This window comes from Homo sapiens, chromosome 10 (assembly GCF_000001405.40).
Source record: "Homo sapiens chromosome 10, GRCh38.p14 Primary Assembly".
NCBI lineage: Eukaryota > Metazoa > Chordata > Mammalia > Primates > Hominidae > Homo > Homo sapiens.
Genome location: NC_000010.11, coordinates 76,148,611 through 76,171,172, shown reverse-complemented (window position 1 = coordinate 76,171,172; position 22,562 = coordinate 76,148,611). Strand labels below are relative to the sequence as shown.

The 22,562-nt window shown below is 38.9% G+C and overlaps 1 protein-coding gene across 3 annotated transcripts in view, besides 1 other annotated feature; it reads right to left on the bottom strand.

Moving 5' to 3' along the window:
• The window catches only part of LRMDA (leucine rich melanocyte differentiation associated), a 1,128,545-nt gene that overhangs the window by 388,996 nt on the left and 716,987 nt on the right, over window positions 1-22,562 (bottom strand). The gene's annotated exons all lie outside the window — the stretch shown is intronic.
• Window positions 20,723-21,631: an enhancer, noted in NCBI's record as "OCT4-NANOG-H3K27ac-H3K4me1 hESC enhancer chr10:77909300-77910208 (GRCh37/hg19 assembly coordinates)". NCBI's record gives its function as "activates a minimal SCP1, AML or CMV promoter by ChIP-STARR-seq in primed H9 embryonic stem cells {active_cell/tissue: H9 hESC(primed)}" and the evidence as "EXISTENCE:reporter gene assay evidence [ECO:0000049][PMID:30033119]".

Below are 22,562 nucleotides of genomic sequence, written 5' to 3'. Positions count from 1 at the left end.
GCCAGATGACTTATCCCATTCCACTACAAACTTAGGGACAAGGGGTTTTAAAACCAGCTTCTTTCTCTAGGCACAGATATAGCTGCTCAGATCAGTACAAACTTTTGCCTCTTCATAGGAAGCAATGCACATCCATCTATGAGACAAAACTAGATATTAACCTAGTGCTGTGTTTAGTACATATACTCATAATAGTTGATATTTATTGTACATTTACCAAGTGCTAGGTATTCTTCTAAGCATTTCATATTTATTAACTCCTTGAATACCAATACCACAAATACCTTGCAAGATTAGTAGTAACAGATAATATTTTTTAGTTTATTTTCCTCCTCTCTAACCTCATATAAATTTTCAAATAAGAGAAGGTGAACTTCAGTCCAGAGTTCAATTTCTGGATTAAAATATCACAAAACTAAAAGGTCTAAAAGAAACCAACCATTTTATAGAATTTTAAAATTTTACATGTATAACATTTCTAGAGATATAGTTTCCTTTATATGATAAACATTTACTTATGCTCCAGTAATAATTTTTACCATTGCTTTTGAAGGGAAGAGTTTTAGGGCAGAATTAGTTAAATCTCCAAAATTGGTAGCAGTATTATCTCTGCTTTACGTATGAGAAACTGAGCTAGACTCAGAGAAGCAAACGGACTTGCTTAAGGTCAAAGAGCTAGTTAGTGGTTGAAGCAGGAACTAAACTCTAGAAGCCTTACTTTTAGTCAATTAGCCAATATTTACTGTAAACAAATTTACCATATTTCCTAGAGACCAGTCTGAGAGCACCTACACAAGAATCTGCAAGAATTTAACATAAATCTCTGGCACAGACTTCACCATATACCTATGGTTATATCTTAAAGACATGCCCATTTGGCAAAGGCATCTCTACTGAGCAGTTGGTTAGATGAGCTAGTTTTGGTTTTCTACCAATTCTGAGTTTATATGAGTCTAAAACACATTGAGCGGCCAGTTTATACCTTCTTGGGTGACTGGTGAGGAGACTGTTCCTACTTTTCCAGCCCTGATCCGCTCCTGAATTCTGTACAGCAAGAATGTGACCTGCAATATGTGTGGAGACCAGAATCTTTTAAACAACTGGCTCAAAGTCTGTAGTCCAATCCTCCGATTATTTTACCTTTCAGCTTCCTCTCTGCATACTCTAGGACACAGGCTACAGGAAACTTCACTGGAGAAATGGCCATCATCCAAGGGTAAGGCCATACCCTTGGGTGATGGGAGGATAAACCTCTGAGAGGTAAACCTCTTAGAATGCATGGGGCAGCCTCACAGTAAACAGCTGTCCTATCCCAAATGACAATGAAGAATTCTCCTATCACACCCAATGTGTTGGAGTCTACCATTTCTACTAAGCTGGGCTGTAATCTTTTTTCACTAGCTTTTAAACCCTTGAGAACCTTGAATTTTTTAGAACCTTGAAAACACTGAACTTGGTAGGACCTTGAGTTTGCTTTCTTTGAAGACCCATGAGACCAGAAAATATTCTGACTGTCATTAGGCCTCCACTATGGGCTTATTACAGAGATTAACCCAATCTTTCTTCTGAGTCTTCCTTAATGACCACTAAAGAAAATTCTTAGGAAGACAGCCTCAAATCTGTCTTCCTCAGACATGCTAATGTAGGGTCTCAGTGATTTAACCATCAGCCCTGATACCAACTTCCCATCTGCTCTAACAGAAGGGCTCCAACATCCCGTCTGCTCCTGTGGGATAGAGAAGATCCAACACGAGAGGCAGCAGGAAAAGGCACTGCCATCTGTGAGGGAAAGAATATTTCAGGGGCTCCCAAGACCATGGCTAAAAGAGTATTTAAAAATGTTTTCCTTATAGGATGAAACTCAGAATGGATTCAGACAAAAATGTCAATATTCCCTTGAGCTGAATTATTCTGGGAACTGAAAGCACTGTGGAATGAATGGTTAGTTGTAGCAAAAAGATCCAGTTTTATGCCGAAGAATCCTATCAGCAACAGATTCAATCTAATTGCTGTGCCTGCACCAAATTTTCCTGCCAATAATTTTAGAATTACTATGGGGCAGGCTGAAAAGAGCTATTCTAAGGAAAGAAAGACTGATTTTCATAGTTCTTAACTCCCCATAATATGGTTTCCTTAATACATATTATCTTTTTCCCTCCTAGAATGTCCTTCTTTTCTCCCCACCTTGTTACCCACAATTTGTAAAGTACCTATACAGTGGATACCTTTCTAACTTCACTTTGCTTTTGTTCTGTCTTACTTATTGGCTTCAACAATAAACAGTGGACTTCATGGAATGCATGTATGTTTCAGAATTCCAATGTCAAGGATAAAATGAGATCTATTGTAATTTTAAGAACATAAAGCAAAAGAATGTGTGGAAGAGATATATGGAAATAGATCTGACAACTTTTACCAATTGTTTTTAGTAAAACATCTTTCATCTACTCATCATCCCCTTTCATCTACTCATCATACAGTTTCATCTACTCATCATCCCCTTTCATCTACTCATCATACAGTTTCATCTACTCATCATCCCCTTTCCTTTCCTTTTTTTGCTATCTTTACCCTTGAACTACCTAAACTTTAAACTCAGTACCAGATTAAAACAAACTGAAATTGATGATTCAGATCATCACCAAGTTCGCCAAGTTCCAGAACAATGCTTCTGTTTGAGCAAAGTTGTTCAAAACAGTAGTGGCAAAGCTGAGGATGGCCATTGCCCAGCTCTGGAAACAGAAGCCATGAGGACCCCTGGGCATAATTCTAGCTACAAGGCATGTTTTTTTCTCTCCCAACACAGAGCATGGCTTCCCAATCAACATAGGAAATCTGGTGTCACTGAGATGGGCTTCCACTAAGGTGGTGTCTGAACTCCTTAACCAGACTTTCCTAGGAGTCAAAGCTATTTTGAAGTGTTTCAGGAAATAGATGTGGTTTTGATGAGAAATTATATAATTCAAAGTCCTGTGGCTAACAAGTCAGCAAAAGTTCTATGGAAGAGGAGAGAGACAGATTTGCCCATATTTTAGCTCAGGGCTTAATGTATAATTTATAAAGCAGGTGGATTATTCCTGAGGACAAAAACTATTCCTAAAATTGGTCCCAAGTAGGCCTCTTTTGAAATTGGATTCCCTACAATCCCATTCACAATTGCCACAAAAAGAATAAAATACCTAGAAATACAGGTAACCAGGGAAGTGAAAGACCTCTAAAAGGATAACTACAAAACACTGCTCAAAAAAATCAGAAATGACACAAACAAATGGAAAAACATTCCATGCTCATGGATGGGAAAAATCAATATCATGAAAATGGCCATACTGTTCAAAGCAATTTATAAATTCAATGCTAGTCCCATTAAACTACCATTGACATTAGTCAAAGAACTACAAGAAACTATTTTAAAATTCATATGGAACCAAAAAAGAGCCCAAATAGCCAAGGGAATCCTAAGCAAAAAAGAACAAAGCTGGAGGCATCATACTACCCAACTTCAAACTATACTACAGGGCTACAGTAATGAAAACAGCCTAGCACTAGTACAAAAACAGATACATAGACCAATGGAACAGAATAAAGAACTCAGAAACAAGGCCACATATCTACAACTATCTGATCTTTGACAAATTGGACAAAACAAGCAATGGGGAAACGATTCTCTATTTAATAAATGGTGCTGAGATAACTGGCCAGCCATATGCCAAAGATTGAAACTGGACCCCTTCCGTACATCATATGCAAAAATTAACTCAAGATAGGCAATACTATTCTGCACATAGGAACAGGCAAAGATTTCATGACAAAGATGCCAAAAGCAATTGCAACAAAAGCAAAAATTGACAAATGGGATCTAATTAAACTAAAGAGCTTCTGCACAGCAAAAGAAACTATCAACAGAGTAAACAGACAACCTACAGAATGGGAGAAGATATTTGCAAAACTATGCATCTGACGAAGGTCTAATATCCAGCATCTATAAGGAACTTAAACAAATGTACAAGAAAAAAACAAACAACCCTATCAAAAAGTGGGCAAGAAACACAGACACTTTTCAAAAGAAGACATACATGTGGCCAGCAAGCATATGAAAAAAAGCTCAACATCACTGATAATTAGAGAAATGCAAATTAAAACCACAATGAGATACCATCTCACACCAGTCAGAATGGCTATCTATTATAAAAAGTCAAACGAACAAACAAAAAATAAGACAGATGCTGGCAAGGTTGCAGAGAAAAGGGAATGCTTAAATACTGTTGGTGGGAGTCTAGATTAGTTCAACCATTGTGGAAAGCAGTGTGGTGATTTCTCAAAGAGCTAAAAATAGAGCTACCATTCGACCTAGGAGGAATATAAGTTGTTCAGTCATCAAGACATACACATTCATGTGTTCACTGCAGCACTATTCACAATAGCAAAGACATGGAATCAACCCTAATGCCCATGAATGGTAGACTAGATAAAGAAAATGTGGTACATATATACCATGGAATACTACGCAGCCATAAAAAAGAACAAGATCATGTCCTCTGCAGGAACATGGATGAAGCTGGAGGCCATTATCCTTAGCAAACTAACACAGGAACAGAAAACCAAATATCACATGTTCTTACTGATAAGTAGGAGCTAAATGATGAGAACACATGGACACATAAGAGAGGAAGAACAGACACTGGGGCCTACTGGAGGGTAGAGGTTGAGAGGAGGGAGAGGATCAGGAGAAGTAACTAATGGATACTAGGCTCAGTACCTGGGTGACAAAATAATCTGTACAACAAACATCCATGACAGAAGTTTACCTATATAACAAACCTGCACATGTACCCCTGAACTTAAAATAAAAGTTAAAAACAAACAAAAGAAGGTTGGAACAAGTACCATTTTAACAAAGAACCAAGCAGGTTTGGGAAAATGTCCAAAAGGAGGCCTTTGTCCATGGTTTTGACTGAGAACTCAACCTAACAGACAGCCTCATGCCTGGTACATAGAAAATGACCCATAAATATGTGTGGAAGTTAGGATAAATTGCCCTTCACATCGGACAAATGATCAGTGGGTGGAGTCTCTCAGGAATTTCCCCTTGACAGTTATCTGACACTGAATCCTGCCTAACCGCTACAAATGCCCATCATTGTTTACTTCATTATTTCTTCTTTCCCTCTGTATTCCCACTGAATATTGGTCTAGAAGGGCAAGAACCATACTGTTTGTTCACCAACCTACCCAAAGCATCCAGCATAGCCTCTCGATACCCACTGAATATGTGCTGAATGAGTGTGCTGATATGGTTTGTTTGTGTTCCCACCCAAATCTCATCTTGAATTGTAGCTCCCACTATCCACACGTGTTGTGGGGGGGACTTGGTAAGAGATAATTAAATAATGGGGGCGGCTACCCTCATATTGTTCTCATGATCATGAGTTCTCACGATATCTGGTGGTTTTATAAGGGGCTATTCCCCTCCTTCACTCATTCTTCTCTCTCCTGCTGCCATGTGAAGAAGGATATGTTTGCATCCTCTTCTGCCATGATGGTAGGTTTCCTGAGTCTTCCTCAGCCAATGAGGAACTGTGAGTCAATTAAACCTCTTTTCTTGGCTGGGTGCAATGGCTCACGCCTGTAATCCCAGCACTTTGAGAGGCTGGGGCTGGCAGATCACTTGAAGTCAGGCATTTGAGGCCAGCCTGGCCAAAATGGTGAAACCCCGTCTCTACTAAAAATACAAAAGCTAGTCAGGTATGGACGTGCATGCCTGTAGTCCCAGCTACTTGGGAGACTGAAGCAGGAGAATTGCTTGAACCCAAAGGCAGAGGTTACAGTAAGCCAAGATCACACCACTGTACTCCAGCCTGGGTGACAGAGCAAGACTCTGTCTCAAAAAAAACTCTCTTTTTGGCTGGGCATGGCGTCTCACGCCTGTAATCCCAGTACTTTGGGAGGCCGAGGCGGATGGATCATCTGAGGTCAAGAGTTCGAGACCAGCCTGGCCAACATAGTGAAACCCCATCTCTACTTAAAATACAGAAATTAGGTGGGCATGGTGGCAGGTGCCTGTAATCCCAGCTACTTGGGAAACTGAGGCAGGAGAATTGCTTGAACCTGGGAGGCAGAGTTTGCAGTGAAACAAGATTGTGCCATTGCACTCTAGCCTGGGGGACAAGAGCAAGACTTCGTCTCAATAAACAAAAACAAAAACAAATAAACAAACAAACCCTCTTTTCTTTATAAATTACGTAGTCTCACATGAGAAAGGACTGATACACGTGCCCTTTGTTCACTGTTGTAATCCATAAACTCATAAAATGATAGAGCCAAACAAGGTCTGAGTGGTGCCTCCAATTTTACAGCTGGAAAAATAAATAAATTCAATAAAAGGAATTTTTTTCAAGGCTAAAAATTAAATTAAATTAAATTGTTTCCTATTTTCCTGCAATCTGTGATGCTCATTTAAAAAATATAAACACAAAAGTATTGTGGGATCTACAAGGAAGGTCACAGAACCTTTCTCTGAATATTTTAGATCACAGATTGGCAAACTTTTCCTGTAAAGGGCCAGATAGGAAATATTTCATTCTTTGCAGACCACACATGGCCTTCACCACATATCTCAAATATTCTTTGTTTTTTGGGTGGTTTTTTGCCACCTTTTACAAATGTAAAAAGCATTCGTAGCTCATATGTAAAAACAAACAAACAAAAAACAAGCCACTGGCCATATTTGGTTTATGGGCTGTAATTTGCCAACCCCTATTCTAGAAAAAACAGGTGGACACTGTCTTTCTCGAGACTACTCATTGGGTAGTAAAATAAATACCTACTCTACCCTCTCTGCCAGCTCTATAATATGATGGAACTGAGAAAAGTAAATCTAAAAAATTCTCAGTTTTAATCATTAAATCATCAGTGGACATTTCAATATCTGACAAAACAATAATGTTTTAGTAAAAACACAAAGCCTTTGTGTTCAGTCTCCTATGCAGGAAACTCACCTTGGGACCTAGAGCAAATTCCTTACCTCTGATTTCTCATCGGAAAAAAAAATCAAACATTTTAATTAAATGATTTCTAAAGAGGCTTCCAGACTTGGTTCTCTGAGAGTCCATGAATTTTCCTAGGAAACTTCAGAGGGTTGTTTAAGGAAGTGTTTCAAAATGAGCTCACAATATTAAGAAAAACTCATTGGAATAATTGTCACCCTGTCTAAAGGTTTCCAGAAAAGCAAATGGCCCTTTTTTGCCCTGACTAAATCTCCCATCAGAGAATATGGCATTCCAGTGACTTTGGCTAAATGTGCAGTCATGAAAAACAGAGACAATGGATTCATGAGACTCATCTTCAGAAATAAAAGATGTGGACTTTTCAGTGGTCATCTTAGGAAGGAAGCAGATACTACAGCCCAGAAATCAAAATCATAATTTCCTGTGATCTCAGAATCTTTTTGACTCTACCATAGTTCACATTTTTGTGATCTCCAAAGCTATTAGCAGTAAAGTTAATTAAAATGCATCTTCCTGATCCTTAATTTTATACCACCGTAATTCCTTAAAGCAACAAGGGTCTAGCTAAGCCAAGTATGAATTACATAGAAAGATGTCTTCTGTCTACTACATGCACGTGCACAGTAATGCTTTATGTATAGCATCATTTTCTTCAAGTTGAAAAAAAAAGTTTACTTTCTGTTTTTCTCCAATCAGTAAAACAGTCTATGGTAAATGCATATCACTTCCATTGATTTACCACACATACATTTAGAATTGAATGTGACTGCCTGGGACTCATGTTAAGCAGGATTAATAAAAAAAGTCCCATCCTGCATAGTCAGAAACCCTTGGTCCCACTCAGATTTCTCTACACACTCAAGCTCCCTAAAGATAAATGAGCTTTATACCACAGAAAGGAAACAGGTCATTTATCTGACATCACATTATTTACTGACATTAAAAATGATAATATCCATCAACAAGCAGCCAAACCCCAAGTGGGTCACACAGAGAACAAAGCTGCAACTGTCTTTTCTTTGATATAGTTACAAGGAGACGCTGACTGAGCTGCCATTTATGTTCCAATAATGTCACTATTGTCACAAGAAGCTCACGTTTTAATAATATTCACATAATTTCCCATGTGCTTATTTGGAACCAAGGATCTGTGATTTGTTCTTTTCTGAACATTTAATAAAATTAAAATCTGGAATTATAGCAACAGACCTATAAATATGATTTGCTTTGGGAGATTTTTCATTTTTAGAATATGTATCTTTCCCTTTCATTCCTTTCTTTTAAAAATAATGCCATTATCTATAATCATCATAACAACACAACAAGGTAGGTAGTGATCACCTGCATTTTCTACATAAATAATCTGAGGGGCTGATATAGTTTGGATGCGTGTCCTCCCCAAATCTCATGTTGAATTGTAATCCCAGGATTAGAGGTGGGGCCTGGTGGGAGGTTATTGGATCACGGTGATGGATTTCTCACAAATGCCTCAGCACCATCTTCTTGGTACTGTTTTTGCAATAACAAGTGACTTCTCATGAGATCTGGCTGTTTAAAAGTGTGTAGCATCTCCCTCTCTCTTGCTCCTGCTCCCACTATCCACCTGCTCCCCTTTCACTTTCTGTCATGATTGAAAGCTTCCTGAGGCCTCCCCAGAAGCCGATGGCTGTGTTATGCTTCTGGTACAGGCTGCAGGACTGTGAGCCAATTAAATGTCTTTTCTTCGTAAATTAGACAGTCTCCAGTATTTCTCTGTAGCAATGCGAGAATTGACTAATACAGGATCAAAGAGGCTTGTTAAATAAATTGCCCAAATTCATAGGGCTAGTAAATGGTAGATTTGGGATTGGAACCTACTGGTTTTTCCAACTCTGCCAGCGATCTTTTCCCTTCTCTCTCTCCTTTCTTCTTCCCTCCACCTACCTACCTACCTTCAAAACAACTTTTGTTCTCGTAAGCACTTTCTTGAAAGCACCTTCCCACAACAGTTTAATTCTATCCCAAAGTAAACACCACAGCACGAAGTACCTTAACAAAACCTAAGGACATGCAAATAACACTTGCAGGATTGACTAACATTTTGGGTTATTAGCTTGAACTCAAGAAAAAACACATGTAATAGTCAGAAATGACCTGTCAGCTGCAGTTATTCAGAAGTAAAGTCAAAGTTACAGTGAACAAAGACTGTAAATTTAGTTACTAAAGAATATTATTTTATACCCTAAAAAAGTTTGCTCTATGAAATGTGAGCTAAAGCTCACCCACTATTTAAAAACAGAGCGAGCAGAATCTGATTTTCTTCCCACTGAATCTGATTTTCTTTCCACTGCATTCACTGAGTAGAATCAGCAAAACAACAGCCCTTCTTTTGGTTAAATTTTCTAAGGTGCCACCACATCTAGGTCTATCTTGTTCCCCTTCATCCTCCTCTGTCCTGTTAAAAGACAGGGCAGGAAGGCCAGGTGGACAGTTTTGGACTGTTGGCCTCATCGGTGACCCTTTCTGTTCATCAACATTTGTTTCATGCGTTGTAGTCTGACTATCTTGGGCTGTGTCTTTCTAATACAGAACAGCCTGGTAGGAAAAGAAAATATGTCATATGACAATGTATTTGCCAAGATGACTCCAAACAATTGATTTCCTAAGTTTTGTTTGTTTGTTTGTTTCCCAGAACTGTCCAAACTGATGACAGCACAGACATTTCTGACGTGAAGAAGAAAGACCGGCTCTAGCACGTGACCAGCATTCTCATTTCCCACTCACATTCGGATCTCGGCTCTCAGGCTACATTCTGGTCAGGATGAATTACATGTATAATTCAAAATCAAGAAAGCTGTTCAAGTACAACGTGTGAGGCTTCTGCCAACGTTGAAATTCATTAGGAACCATGATTTTGGCTGAGCACATGGCTCTGTTTTGAGCTCTTTTATTCCGGTGTTATTGCTCATTCACTTAAAGAGAAATACGTGAGTCAGAGACAAGATCTCTTTCCCTTTTCATGTTTCTCCAATTTATCTCCCTTGGCATAATAAATATCTCAAGCCAAAGACTGGAGAGTGTTGTCTTGTTTCCCTCTGTTTTTCCCATTATCTCAGTTATCTCTCGTTTATTTTTTAGTCTTTTCTCTTATCGCAACCGTTTCTCGGGACATCATAAAAGTTGGAATGAGTAACCTCCCACCCCTTGCGGTTGCTTGCGGGTGTTTCAGGCCCCCACACTCTCAATCACGTGGCTTGGTTGCTTTGACATGTTTGGAAAGAAAAAGAAATCTTAGATACACCTCAACTAGAACTGATGGCTCAACGGGGGACTGCTTTTCATAAATAAAAATTACTCTTTGTACGAAACTTCCTCCAGTAAGAAAATAATTGTAAGCAAAACCTGCTTATGTACCCTTTCTTGCTCTGGCCAGTGTAGAGAGTCCAACCTATCATGGTCTCAATGAGATAGATTGTAAACAGCACTGGATAAGGAGCATTGGTTCTAAAACTATATTTTAAGGCCAATTTTTTAAATTTGGCGGGAGTATTTCAAAAAAATTGTAAGTATAGAGACTACAGTATAATGAGCCCTCTTGTATCTATAAATCAACACACAGCTAATCTAGTTTCAACTATATCTACTCACATCTATTCCCTCTTCTCCCAAGCAAATTTTTTTTGAATGAATCCCAGACATCAAATAATTTCTTCCATACATACTCTTAGGTACCTCTAAGAAAAAAAATTTTAAATATAACCACAATTGTCATACCTAAAAAAGCTTATAATTACTGTTATCAAATATCCAGTCAGTGTCAGATTTCCCTGATCATTTCAGTCTTTTTTTTTACATTAAGAACTTTTTACTTTCAATTATAAAATATTTAAGGTCCAGAGACAAGATAAAATGACACATGTGAATCTACCACCCTAATATGTTTCTAATATTTGCTTCAGATTTCCCTTTAAAAAAAAAAAAAAAGACTTCTCTTAGAGCAGTTTTAAATTCGAAAGCAAAATTGAGAAGAAGGTACAGAGATTTCCCATATACCCCTGGGAAATGGGGGGATACATACATAGCCTCCCCCCTTATCAACATCCCCCACCAGAGTGGCACAATTGTTACACTGATGAACCTACATCAACCCATCGTTATTACTCAAAGCTCATAGTTTACATTAGAGTTCGCTTGGTGTTGTACATTCCATGGGTTTAGACAGATACATGACATGTATCAGTCATCACACTATCATACAGAGTATTTTTACTGCCCCCCAAATCCTCTGTTCTCTGCCTATTCATCCTTTCCTCCCCCATAACACCTGACAACCACTGCTCTTTGTGCTCTCTCTATAGTTTTGCCTTTTCTAGAATGACATATAGCTAGAATCATACAGCATATAACTCAGGTTGGCTTCTTTCACTTATGAATATGCATTTAAGTTTCTTCCATGTCTTTGCATGGTTTGATAGCTCATGTCTTTTTAGTGTTGAATAGCATTCCATTGTCTGCATGTACCCCAGTTTATTTCCCATCCACCTACTGAAGGACCTCTTGGTTGCCTCCAAGTTTTGGCAGTTATGAATAAAGTTGCCATAAGCACCTGAACGCAAGTTTCTATGTGGACATAAGTCTTCAACTCATTTGAGTAAATACCAAGGAGTGTGATGGCTGGATCATAAGCTAAGTTATGTTCAGTTTTCTAAGAAACCACCAAACTATCTTCCAAAGTGGCTGTCTCATTTTGTTTCCCCTCCAGAGATGAATGAGAGTCCCTAAGGCTCTACATCCTCATCCGCATTTGGTGTTGTCAGTGTTCTAGATTTTGGCTATTCTAATAGGTGCACAGTGGTATCTCATTATTTTAATTTGCATTTCCCTGATGACAGAAGATGTGGCACTCATAAAGTTTTTAATATTCATTTGGTTCAAAATAGGGTCCAAACATGGTCCATACACCAAGCACAACTCTTGATGTGCATTTCCTTATTTGAAAATAAGAATGTTAGATGGTTGTTTTATTCAGCATAATCACTTTAAGGTATATTTTTCCAAATTAAAAAATAAAGAACACGAATCAGTTTTTAAAGTTCAACATCTATGTGCATCCAGAAATAACATTGTTTTGATAATAATGGATATGAGCTTGTACATATTCTACTTACCATATGATTTTCTTTAAGTTTTATTCCTTTTGATCCATTTAACCTCTGTCTAGAATTCTATCTCATGAATAGAATGCATTTTATCTATCTAATTTCCTATTAATGAACATTTATTTTGCTTCAAATTTTTCATTATCACAAAACAATGCTATTAGTAGATATCTCTGTAATGTTACTTTATGAATATATCCAAGCTTCTTTAGGACATATACATATGTATGAGAATTTCTAGGTTATTAGAAGGAATAACATTTTTAACTCTACCACTAAATTAATTGTCCTGGAGTTGTACATCTACCAGTATGAGATAAGAATTCAGCATGATGATCTTTAAGGTTTCTTGCAGTTCTGATATTCAACAAGTCAATCCATTAAATTAGATTTTTAAAATCTAATGGTTGCATCTTTAGTAATATTGTTAGTGATATGTTACTGATTTTAACATTTTTATTAATTCTTTGTTGTTTCTTCGTAGTACGTTCTCTTTAAAAAATATATCAGTTTTCATTTCATAAGACTGAGCTTTCTACTCTAGCTAAATCACAAAGGACCATGTATTCACTAGTCTTAAGTTTGGAGAAGTAGAATAAGTGCCTAAAAACATAAATAATAATTAAAGGCAGCTATCAGCAAACCATCAGTAAAGTCTACACCTGCCATTAGTACGTAAGAAGAGAGAGGTCAAAGGGGCCTGGTTTAGAAGGTTTTATATAGGAAAGCAAAAATGAAGGTTACCAGGAAGAAGGAGGCAAAGGGGGTAGGAAAAGGAAAAGAGAATAAATGCAGGTTAAATGGTCTGTCTAAAGTACAATGTGTAGATCAAAGTCCCTAGGACATAAGATTCACATGAAAGAATGGTTAGAGATGAAGTTATAGATAGTCTATGATGGCTCTGAGGCCATCATAGAAAAGGAAAACATATTTGACCAGTCCCATATACAGTCAAATATCACATAATGATATTTCAGTCAACAATGGACCACATATAAGATGGTGGTCCCATAGGATTATAATATCGTATTTTACTGTAACTTTTTTTTTGTTTAGATACACAAATACTTACCATTGTGTTACAACTGCCTACAGTATTCTGTACAGGAACATGCTGTACAGGTTTGCAGCTCAGGAGCAATAGGCTATACCATATGGCCTAGGTGTATTGCATGCTATACCATCTAGGTTTGTATTAAGCATATACTATGATGTTCACACAATGACAAAATCACCTAATTTCATCTATCATTTCTCAGAATGTATCCCCATTGCTAAGTGACACATGCCTATACACACATACACATAATTTTTTTTATTGTCACTAATGCTAAAAAATGAGTCATTGGAGGCTCAGGCTGTCCATCTCGGAGGTCTACATTAAGCCTTCATTTAGGGTCTTTTTTTTTGTTTTTAAGAGACAGTATTTCACTCTGTCACCCAGGCTGCAGTGCAGTGGCACACTCATAGCTCATTGCAGCCTTGAACTCCTGGGCTCAAGCAATCTTCCTGCCTCAGCCCTCTGAGTAGCTGAGACTATAGGTGCATGCTATCACACCTGGCTAATTTTTTAAAAAACTTTTTTGGCAACAGGGTCTGGCTATGTTGCTCAGCTGGTCTGAAACTCCTAGCCTCAAGTGATCTTCCTGACTCAGACTCCCAAGTAGCTCAGATTGCAGGTGTGAGCCACTGCACCCAGTTCTAAGCTATTAAAAGCTGTGCCATTCTTCAATTTGAAATATACTATGGCAAAAATTCATTTGCTTCTTTCCACTATCATCTTTTGGAAAATGAGATCTAGAAGCTTATTTCCTGACGTGGAAACTGGATCATCTTTGTATTGGTCCTAAATTTACCTTGATCCATTTTCAAAAGGGAGTCTCCCAACTCTGTATTTAGGACTTAGCAACTAACTCCCCTTTCAACCTAGTCTTCCCCATGTAGGATTTAACAGATCTTGATCATGACACTTCATTCTCCTCCTCTCTAGACCAAAGACTCTTGGTTATTTCCATTCAATACAAACATTATTAACTGAGCAGCAACTATGCATTACACACTCCTCCAGGCACCAAGAACCTAAAAGTGAAATGTATTACGTTCTCTGCCCCTGAGGCATACCTAACACAACAGGGAAAGTAATTCAGTGGGATAAGTGAAATGACAAAAGCCTCTACAGGAGAAAGAATGTATCTTGGAAGAAATCTGATCTTACCTGCTCTCCTATAAATGTCCCATCATTCCAATAGCCACTTGTTGCCTAGTCTAAGCCTAATGGTATGTCATCTTGAGCTATCATGAGCCTTAAGTCCCCAGCTGACATTCTATGACATGTCAATGCTATCATAAAGAATCTAAACCAATGGCCCATAATACTCCTCTAATATCATAAGTCAAAGATGTGGCTCAGGGACTGCCAGGCATGGAGTTGGTCTGTGAATGTTGGTTAAGCCCATATTTTTTTTTTCAGCAACTCTTCCTGTCATCTGTGGCCATCAGAAGGGCAGCCTGCAGAGTATATCAGGCTGCTTAAGGAGGAAGGGTCAGAAGTCAGAGGTCCCTAGTCCACCCTCTTGTTCTTCTCTTTTATGACACTGTTTGGAAAGAATAATGGAAGAATCAAGATCTTTGGCTGGGTCTAATTTATGAAGAAAACAGTCGGTTTTTTTCATAGAAGAGAAGCAAAATGCTGAACTATGAGTTCTCATCACCTGTGAGCTTGCTGTAAGTGCCCAGGGTGCAGCTCCCAGGGACCAAAGAGAAGTCCTCCAGGGTTTTTGAGCCCTTGGAGACTGCTGGTTGCTGTGATTCCTTGGGAGAAGCAGCTCAGATGGTAAACTAAAGAGCCCCATTAACCTAAGCACAATAACACCGACACTTCCAATTAGCCAGAGGCTGTCAGGTTTAGCCATTTACATTGCATACATTCTCTGTTCCTGACTGTGTTTGAGTTACTTTCTTCCAGCACAGATGGAGAAAGTGATTTTTTTTTCCTGTTAAAGGAAGTCTTCCCAGATGAACCATATCCAACACTAATCACTCTTTTGTTTTAAGAACACAATTCTGTAAGACTTGGCTTACAATTAGACCTTGAGTTGCTATAATTGGATGAGTTAGCCACATTTTAAGATATTTGAGAGTAAATACTTTTCCTATTTCTAGTCAATTCCAGGACTCCATAATCAATGACTCTGTTTACACCTGGAGGCTGATAAGTACTTGCAAAATGTGATAGTCAGGATAGACTGCGTCATATGCAGGAACCAGAAATCCCTAAATCTTATCACCCTAATACAGCAAAAGTTTAGGCGCTTAAACAATATCAACGTGGATGTGAATGACTCTCTAGGGCAGCTGTCTAGTAAGCTAGTTACTAGATGGATGTTGTGATTCCACCATCCCAAAATACAAGGTACCCTCTAAGATGACCTCAGCTGGGATGTAAGTTAAATAGGAAGTTGCACAGGGGCATTTCATATCTCAGCTCAGAAAGGAAATGAAAATCATATATTGAAAAATGCTAATATTGTCTACCATTCTAACATATTCCCTTTATAAAACAGCTTCCAGGTAAGTGACGATCTACCCTTAGACAGATTAAGAAATTAATGATCCTTCCTCTTAGGTTGTAGAAGCAACTCCTCTGATGACCTTTAGGGAGAAGAGTGACAGAGATTTCAGGTATGTTCATTTCATCCCAGGTTTCAGGTTACTGCCAGCAAATGAAGGGTGCCCCATAGCAACACATCCTTGAAATAAAAGTTCATGGATGTCTGGAATACTAGATCTGTGTTCTTTTCCATTAAGATCATTAAAGGCTTGGATCTGGTGATCTTAAGGGTAATATATTTCTACACTGTTTTATTTTGATTTAGCTTTTCTCATTTATTTAACAAAATATTGTTATTCAGCAGAGACTGCTGGTTGTTCTCCAAAATCTATTGTCTCATTCTTCTCTAGGAAATACACTGCTAGGTTTTTTTTGATGGGAACATGCAAAGAGGTGTGGTCATGTAACTTAAGTTCTGGCAAAAGGGAATGAGAGCCGAAATGACTTATACAACATCCAGGCAATGTCCTTAAGAAGAATGAGCATGCTTTCTCCTTCTTTTTGCATTTTTGCTTAATGTGATACAACAATGGGGAGATGAGTCTTCTTTGCCACAGGGACTATAAACATGGTACATGAATGAGCTAGAATGAGCTGACTCCCTGCCACAATGGAGCCACTGCACAAGTCCCGCCTTGCTAATGTCCGGACCATGCCATGAGAGAGGTATGAAGTTCTATACTATTTGATGCTGAATGTTAATCCCAAATAATCCAATATATCAGAAGCTTTCAAGTGCCAGGAACTGTAATGCAGATAAAAGCCTTGATCATAAAGGCAGACCCCTAAGCCTTCGGAAAGGGCAATATTGGTACCACAGACTGCATTCCTAGGAAATTCTCCAAACCATCAACATGATACTGATTCCATATGGCATGTGAGACTTTGGGACATTAGTTGATCATTCAACCTTATTCCCTACATGTCTCATGAAAGAGGACTACCTCCTTCACTGCAAGTCATCTTTTATATTGTATTTTTCAAAAAGACATAGAGGTTGCCTATGATATTGTTTGGTCTAGATGCTCTAATTGTCATTCTGAATATTGTATTTTTTATCTCATTTTCTCACTCCTTATGGGGATATATTCTTCTGACACGTAATCTGACAACAAAACAGAATACCTGGGGCCAGGACTGTCAAACACATGTGTCTACCTTAGCAAAGCTTGTGACTTTGTTCTCTGATACATAAGTATTAAACAGGATGTATCCATCAGAAGGAGTCAGAACTAAGCATTAAGCTGAACAAGAGAAAAATGGCCAAATCCAATGATCAAGAAAGAAAAGGGGTTCTATCCACAGAGCAATTTAATGTAAAAAGGGTCAAGTACGACAGATCTGACAGAGAAAGAGGGACCAATACAAGAATGGCAAATGTGTCATATCTATATTGCCTATCTCTTTTCATGCAGGTTTCAGATATCATTAATCAATCGCTGTGATATCAGAGCAACCTAAGACTTCTAAACACAACAGTCCATATGGCCACTGCCAACATTTGAAGCAGGCACAAAAGTTAAGATCTATGAGCTAGCCAAGTCTCAGGAATAGTCACTCTGCTGAACAGGACTAGCAATAGGTACCTTCTCTTTATCTTGTTTCGTGACTGTTCTAGGTACAGGAAGCACTAAATTTCTATTGCCAAGGTTATATCCCAGGACTGCACCCCTAATGAAGGGAATGACATTGGTTCTCACATTCCAGTGAAGAGGCTAGTATGTGATTTAAACTCTTAGATTATCATAATTATATAGAATACTTTTATCTGATAAATATTACATTTAAAAAATCTAACAGCATACATTCCTTTTAAAATCAAGAACCTGACAAGAATGCCCACTCTCCAGTCTCTTCAACATATAATACTGGGAGAACTGGATATCCACATGCAAAAGACTACATTTGGACCCACCCTACCTCACACCATATACAAAATCCAAACTTAATAAAAGACCTAAATGAATAAGCCAAAGATACAAAATTCTTAGAGGAGCACACAGGTGTGTATCTTCATGACCTTGGATTAGTCAATAGTTTCTTAGATGTAACACCAAAAGTACAAGCCATCAAAGAAAACAATAAATACATTGAATTTCATCAAAATTAAAAATTTTGTTTATCAGAAATACTACCAAGAAACCAAAAATACAACCTATAGAATGGGTGAAAATATTTAGAAACCATTTATCTGATAAAGGTTTAGTATCCAGAATATATAAAGAACTCTTGTAACTCAACAATATAAAGACAAATAACTCAATTTAAAAATAGCCAAAAAAGGCCAGGCGTGGTGGCTCATGCCTGTAATCCCAGCACTTTGGGAGGCCGAGGTGGGCAGATCACGAGGTCAGGAGTTCGAGACCAGCATGACCAACATGGTGAAACCCCGTCTCTACTAAAAATACAAAAATTAGCTGGACGTGGTGGCGGATGCCTATAATCCCAGCTACTTGGGAGGCTGAGGCAGAAGAATTGCTTGAATCCAGGAGGTGGAGGTTGCAGTGAGCCGAGATCACGCCACTGCACACCAGCCTGGACTACAGAGTGATACTCTGTCTCAAAAAAAAAAGCCAAAAAATGTGAATAGACAGTTTTTTAAAGAAGATATACAAATAATCAAAGAGCACATGAAAAGATGCTCAACTTCATTAGTCTTTAGAGTAGTACAAATGAAAGCCAAAAGAGATACTGTTTCACACCCACAGGATCACTGTAAGAAAAAATAACAAGTAGTGGTGAAGATGTAGAGAAATTGAAACTCTCATGTATTGCTAGTGGAAATGTGTAAAATGGCACTACCTATGGAAAACAGCTGGGTGGTTCCCCAAAAAATTAAACATAGAGTTACCATATGACCCAGAAATTCCACTCCTAAGTATATAATCAAGATACTGAAAAACATATTCACACAAAAACGTATACAAAAAATATTAATAGCAGCATTATTCATTATTCATCATAGCCAAAATGTAGAAATAACCAAAATGTCCATCAACTGATTAATGGATAGATAAAATATGGTATATCTATACAATGGAATATTATTTACCCATAAAAAGGAAAGGAAGTTCTGATTTATGATACAATAAGAATCATCCTTGAAAACACTATGCCAAATGAAAGAAGCCAGACATGAAAGGCTACATGTTGTATGACTACATTTGTATAAAATGCCAAGAATAGGCAAATCTATAGAGACAGAAAGTTGATTAAGGTTATCAGGGGCTGAAGGAAGAGGCAGATTGGGAGTAAGTATAAATGGTTAAGGGGTGTCTCTTTGGAATGACGGAAATGTTTTTGATTGAATAGTGGTGACAGTTGCACAACCTTGTGGATATGCTAAAAACCAATGAATTGGATACTTAAAAACGAAGAATTTTATGTTCTAAGAAATTTTATTATGTGGTTCTAAGAAATTTTATTATGTGGGTAAACTAGTAATGTGGGCTTTCTTTATTTTTAAGAAAACTTTTGGGATATAATTCCATTACTACTTTATCCTACATTACACTGGAGGTCCTATATAGTGTAATAAGATAAGAAAAAGCAATAAAAACTATAAGGATTGGAAAGGAAGAAACAAATCTTTTGCTTGTAGATAATATGACTGTCTACTTAAGAAATGCAAACTAGTAAATAAACAAAAGTTAAGTTAGGATGTTGTGTATAATATGAAAACAAAAAATTGCTTTTTCATGTATCAGCAGGAAAAAATGCAATTCAAAAATAAAATTTACAACAACAACAAAAAATACTTTTCTCTTGTTAACCTATCTTTTGGCAATCTAATTTACAGGGCCCTGGCCAATGAGCCTAGAATGGGTAGAGGGAAATATATTTTTTTCCTCCCCCACACATAAAATAAATATCTGTTTGGCCCCTGATATGTGCCAGGCGACGATCAAGAGCTAAGTGCAAAGGATACAAGAGGTTTACATTCTAGTATCAAACAGACAAGAAATACAAACAAATACGATTATTTCAAATAGCGACAGATGCCTTGGAGGGGAAAAAAAAACTGGGTAATGGAATAGAGGTAACTGAGGGATGGCTGTGGGCTTAGGCAACTGCTTTAGAAAACGTGGTCGGGGAGACCTCTTTCAGAAGAACAGTAGCAAGCCGCATAACTGTTTAATAAGCTGATATAGCTGTACCTAAAATAGTTGGCTCCACAAAATGTCCAACAGCAAAGGAAAATCAGGATCCTACTGGAGGGTGTAAAAGTCACCAAAAGCTGACAACGAAGATCTTCACAGGAAATGTACACAGGAAATGTAAACATATAGGTTGGAGGAGCCCCCTTGAGCCCTACGTCTGAAGCTGCCACCCCTGCCTGTGCCTGCTCAGGTCTGGATGACCCAGCTGGGTGTTCAGAGGTGCATACAGGGCGCTTGGATTCTGCTGCCCGGCTGGGTCTTAATGGAGAGCCTCTATTAATTATCTGAGCACTGGCATCACTCCCCTGGACTCAAAGCTAAATAAAGCCACCCCAGTTGCTTGGCCGCAAGCTCTCGAAGGTTTAAACAAAACTGCGTCTCAGTGGATGCAGCATTTGGCGCTTATCTAAAAGTTTTAACGTCTTTTCGCAGTTAATAATTAGCTCTGCCTTGGTCCTCACAAAGGGTGCCACCAAAACAAAAGCAGACGTTAAGTGTGTTCGCTATCCTTGCCACCGGTATAAATAGGCAAAGGGATGATTAATGAATGGGGGGGATTTAAACACAACAGTGAACAAAGACAAAGGCCCAAGGCTCGATCGACTGCCCACAAACTGAGACAGGCTGTATCCAGAGAGAAGCTGCAGAAAGCCACACACACAAACATCCGCTTAATGGACAGGTTGTGAAGACTTCATTTAACCTTGCGTTATGACAGCCGTAGTGTTTTATTAACATTCTGACATGTTAAGGGGCCAGGGTCAGCGGAGGCAAAACCATGCATTGCTGAGGGAGTTTCCTGGCAGGGGAGGGGAAGGCACATTTTTGTGTGGGTGACCGAAAGAAAACAGAGCAGGTCCAAGCACATTCCACAACACCCTTCAGGCCCCCTTTGTGAGGTGGGGCTAGAGCCACATTTTAAAAGAGTTGTTTGGATGTCAAACAAAGCAGATGAGGCACCCACACGCATGCCCAGCCTTTGACAAGGCCTGTCCACGCCTCAGAGTGGCCACATTAGAACCTGGGCTAGGCTTTAGCACTGACTCATAAAGAAGGCTGCTCAGAGGCATCTGCCACAGAAGTGTGTAGCGCGGAGGGGCTTTTGGCAGCCATTTGCAGACACAGGAGGGTTTGCCGCTGGTTGGCAGCCTTTAGTTAGTTCTAAGAGGAAACTTCCCCCCAAGGAGACAGCAGTAGCCCAGTGTGTTTGACCAGCTGGATTTTGAGCTTCTGGCTAGAGATGAGCCTGTGGGAAGCAGCAAATGGCCAAACCCTAGGGAGCCCTGGTTGGTCCACCTCTCTCTTTATAACCTTTCTTCTCCCTCCCAGGGCTTCCCCTCATCAACCAGGTGCCCATTCCCACAGGCTCTGTTTCCAACCAGGTGTCTGATGGGGAAGGATCTGATCAATTAATCCCTGTGGAAGATTTAGGTGATAATGAGCTTAAAGGCTCTCCCCACCCCCTCCAGGGACATTTGCATTTTAATGGAAGACTCCAACAGACCCAAAGGCATTCAAGAACTATAGCAGTGAAACAGTAATTGTGGAGTTTTAGGCTCTAAGGGAGGCCAGAACAGAGATATTTATGGGCTTGAGGAGCTTCCTGGTCTCCCCACAGTCACACTACGGAGACCCCTGCCAAAATTTGTAGGCTTTTATTTCATCTTTTCTCTGCCTACATTACTTAGGTATTGGAAATATCACCTGAGAAAATGGAGGCCAAATGCTTTAAAGAAACACCCAAAAGAATGTGATGATTATGATTTACTAAATGACAAAAATGTAGACCAGAGCATACTCTCTGTGATCAACACCCTTAAATAACAGATGAGGAAATGGAAACACTGAAAAATGAGGTTTTCATGTGAGTCACTCAGCCAATCACTTACAGAGCTAGGACCAGGCACTGACTCTCCTGATTCAAGACCAAGGCTTTTTCTACTGCACTGTAAGAATGACTTCTCTTCCGTCCTCACAGCACATCCTAATCACTCCTTGACTGCTGCATTACAGATGATCATATTATTTAATTTGTGTTTTATAGCTTTACAGTAATCTACTGCTTTGTTAGTGCAAAGGAGATACAGAATTCCAGTTCTGGAAAAATCACCTAAGGGAAGATGAACATTCAAACCAAAATTCTAGGGGATACCACTTTACACCCACTTAATTGTCCTCAAAAATAATAAATTGGACAATAAGAAGTGCTGGAGAAAATGTATATACACAGAAACTCTACTATTTTGCTGGTGGGAATGTTAAACTAGAACAACTGTTTGGAAAACAGATTGGTATTTTCTAGTAAAGTTAAAAGTATGCATAACTAAAGACTCAGCGACTCTATTCCAAGAGAAACTCTAGGTCATGTGCACCAGGAGATGCTTGTAGGCCTGTTCAAAATAAGCAACAGTAAAGATAATAACGGAGGAGCCAAGATGGCCGAAAAGGAACACCTCCGATCTACAGCTCCGAGCGTGAGCAACACAGAAGATGGGTGATTTCTGCATTTCCAACTGAGGTACCGGGTTCATCTCACTGGGGAGTGCCAGAGAGTAGGTGCAGGACAGTGGGTGCAGCGCACTGTGCACGAGCAGTAGCAGGGGAAGGCATCGCCTCACCCAGGAAGTGCAAGGGGTCAGGGAATTCCCTT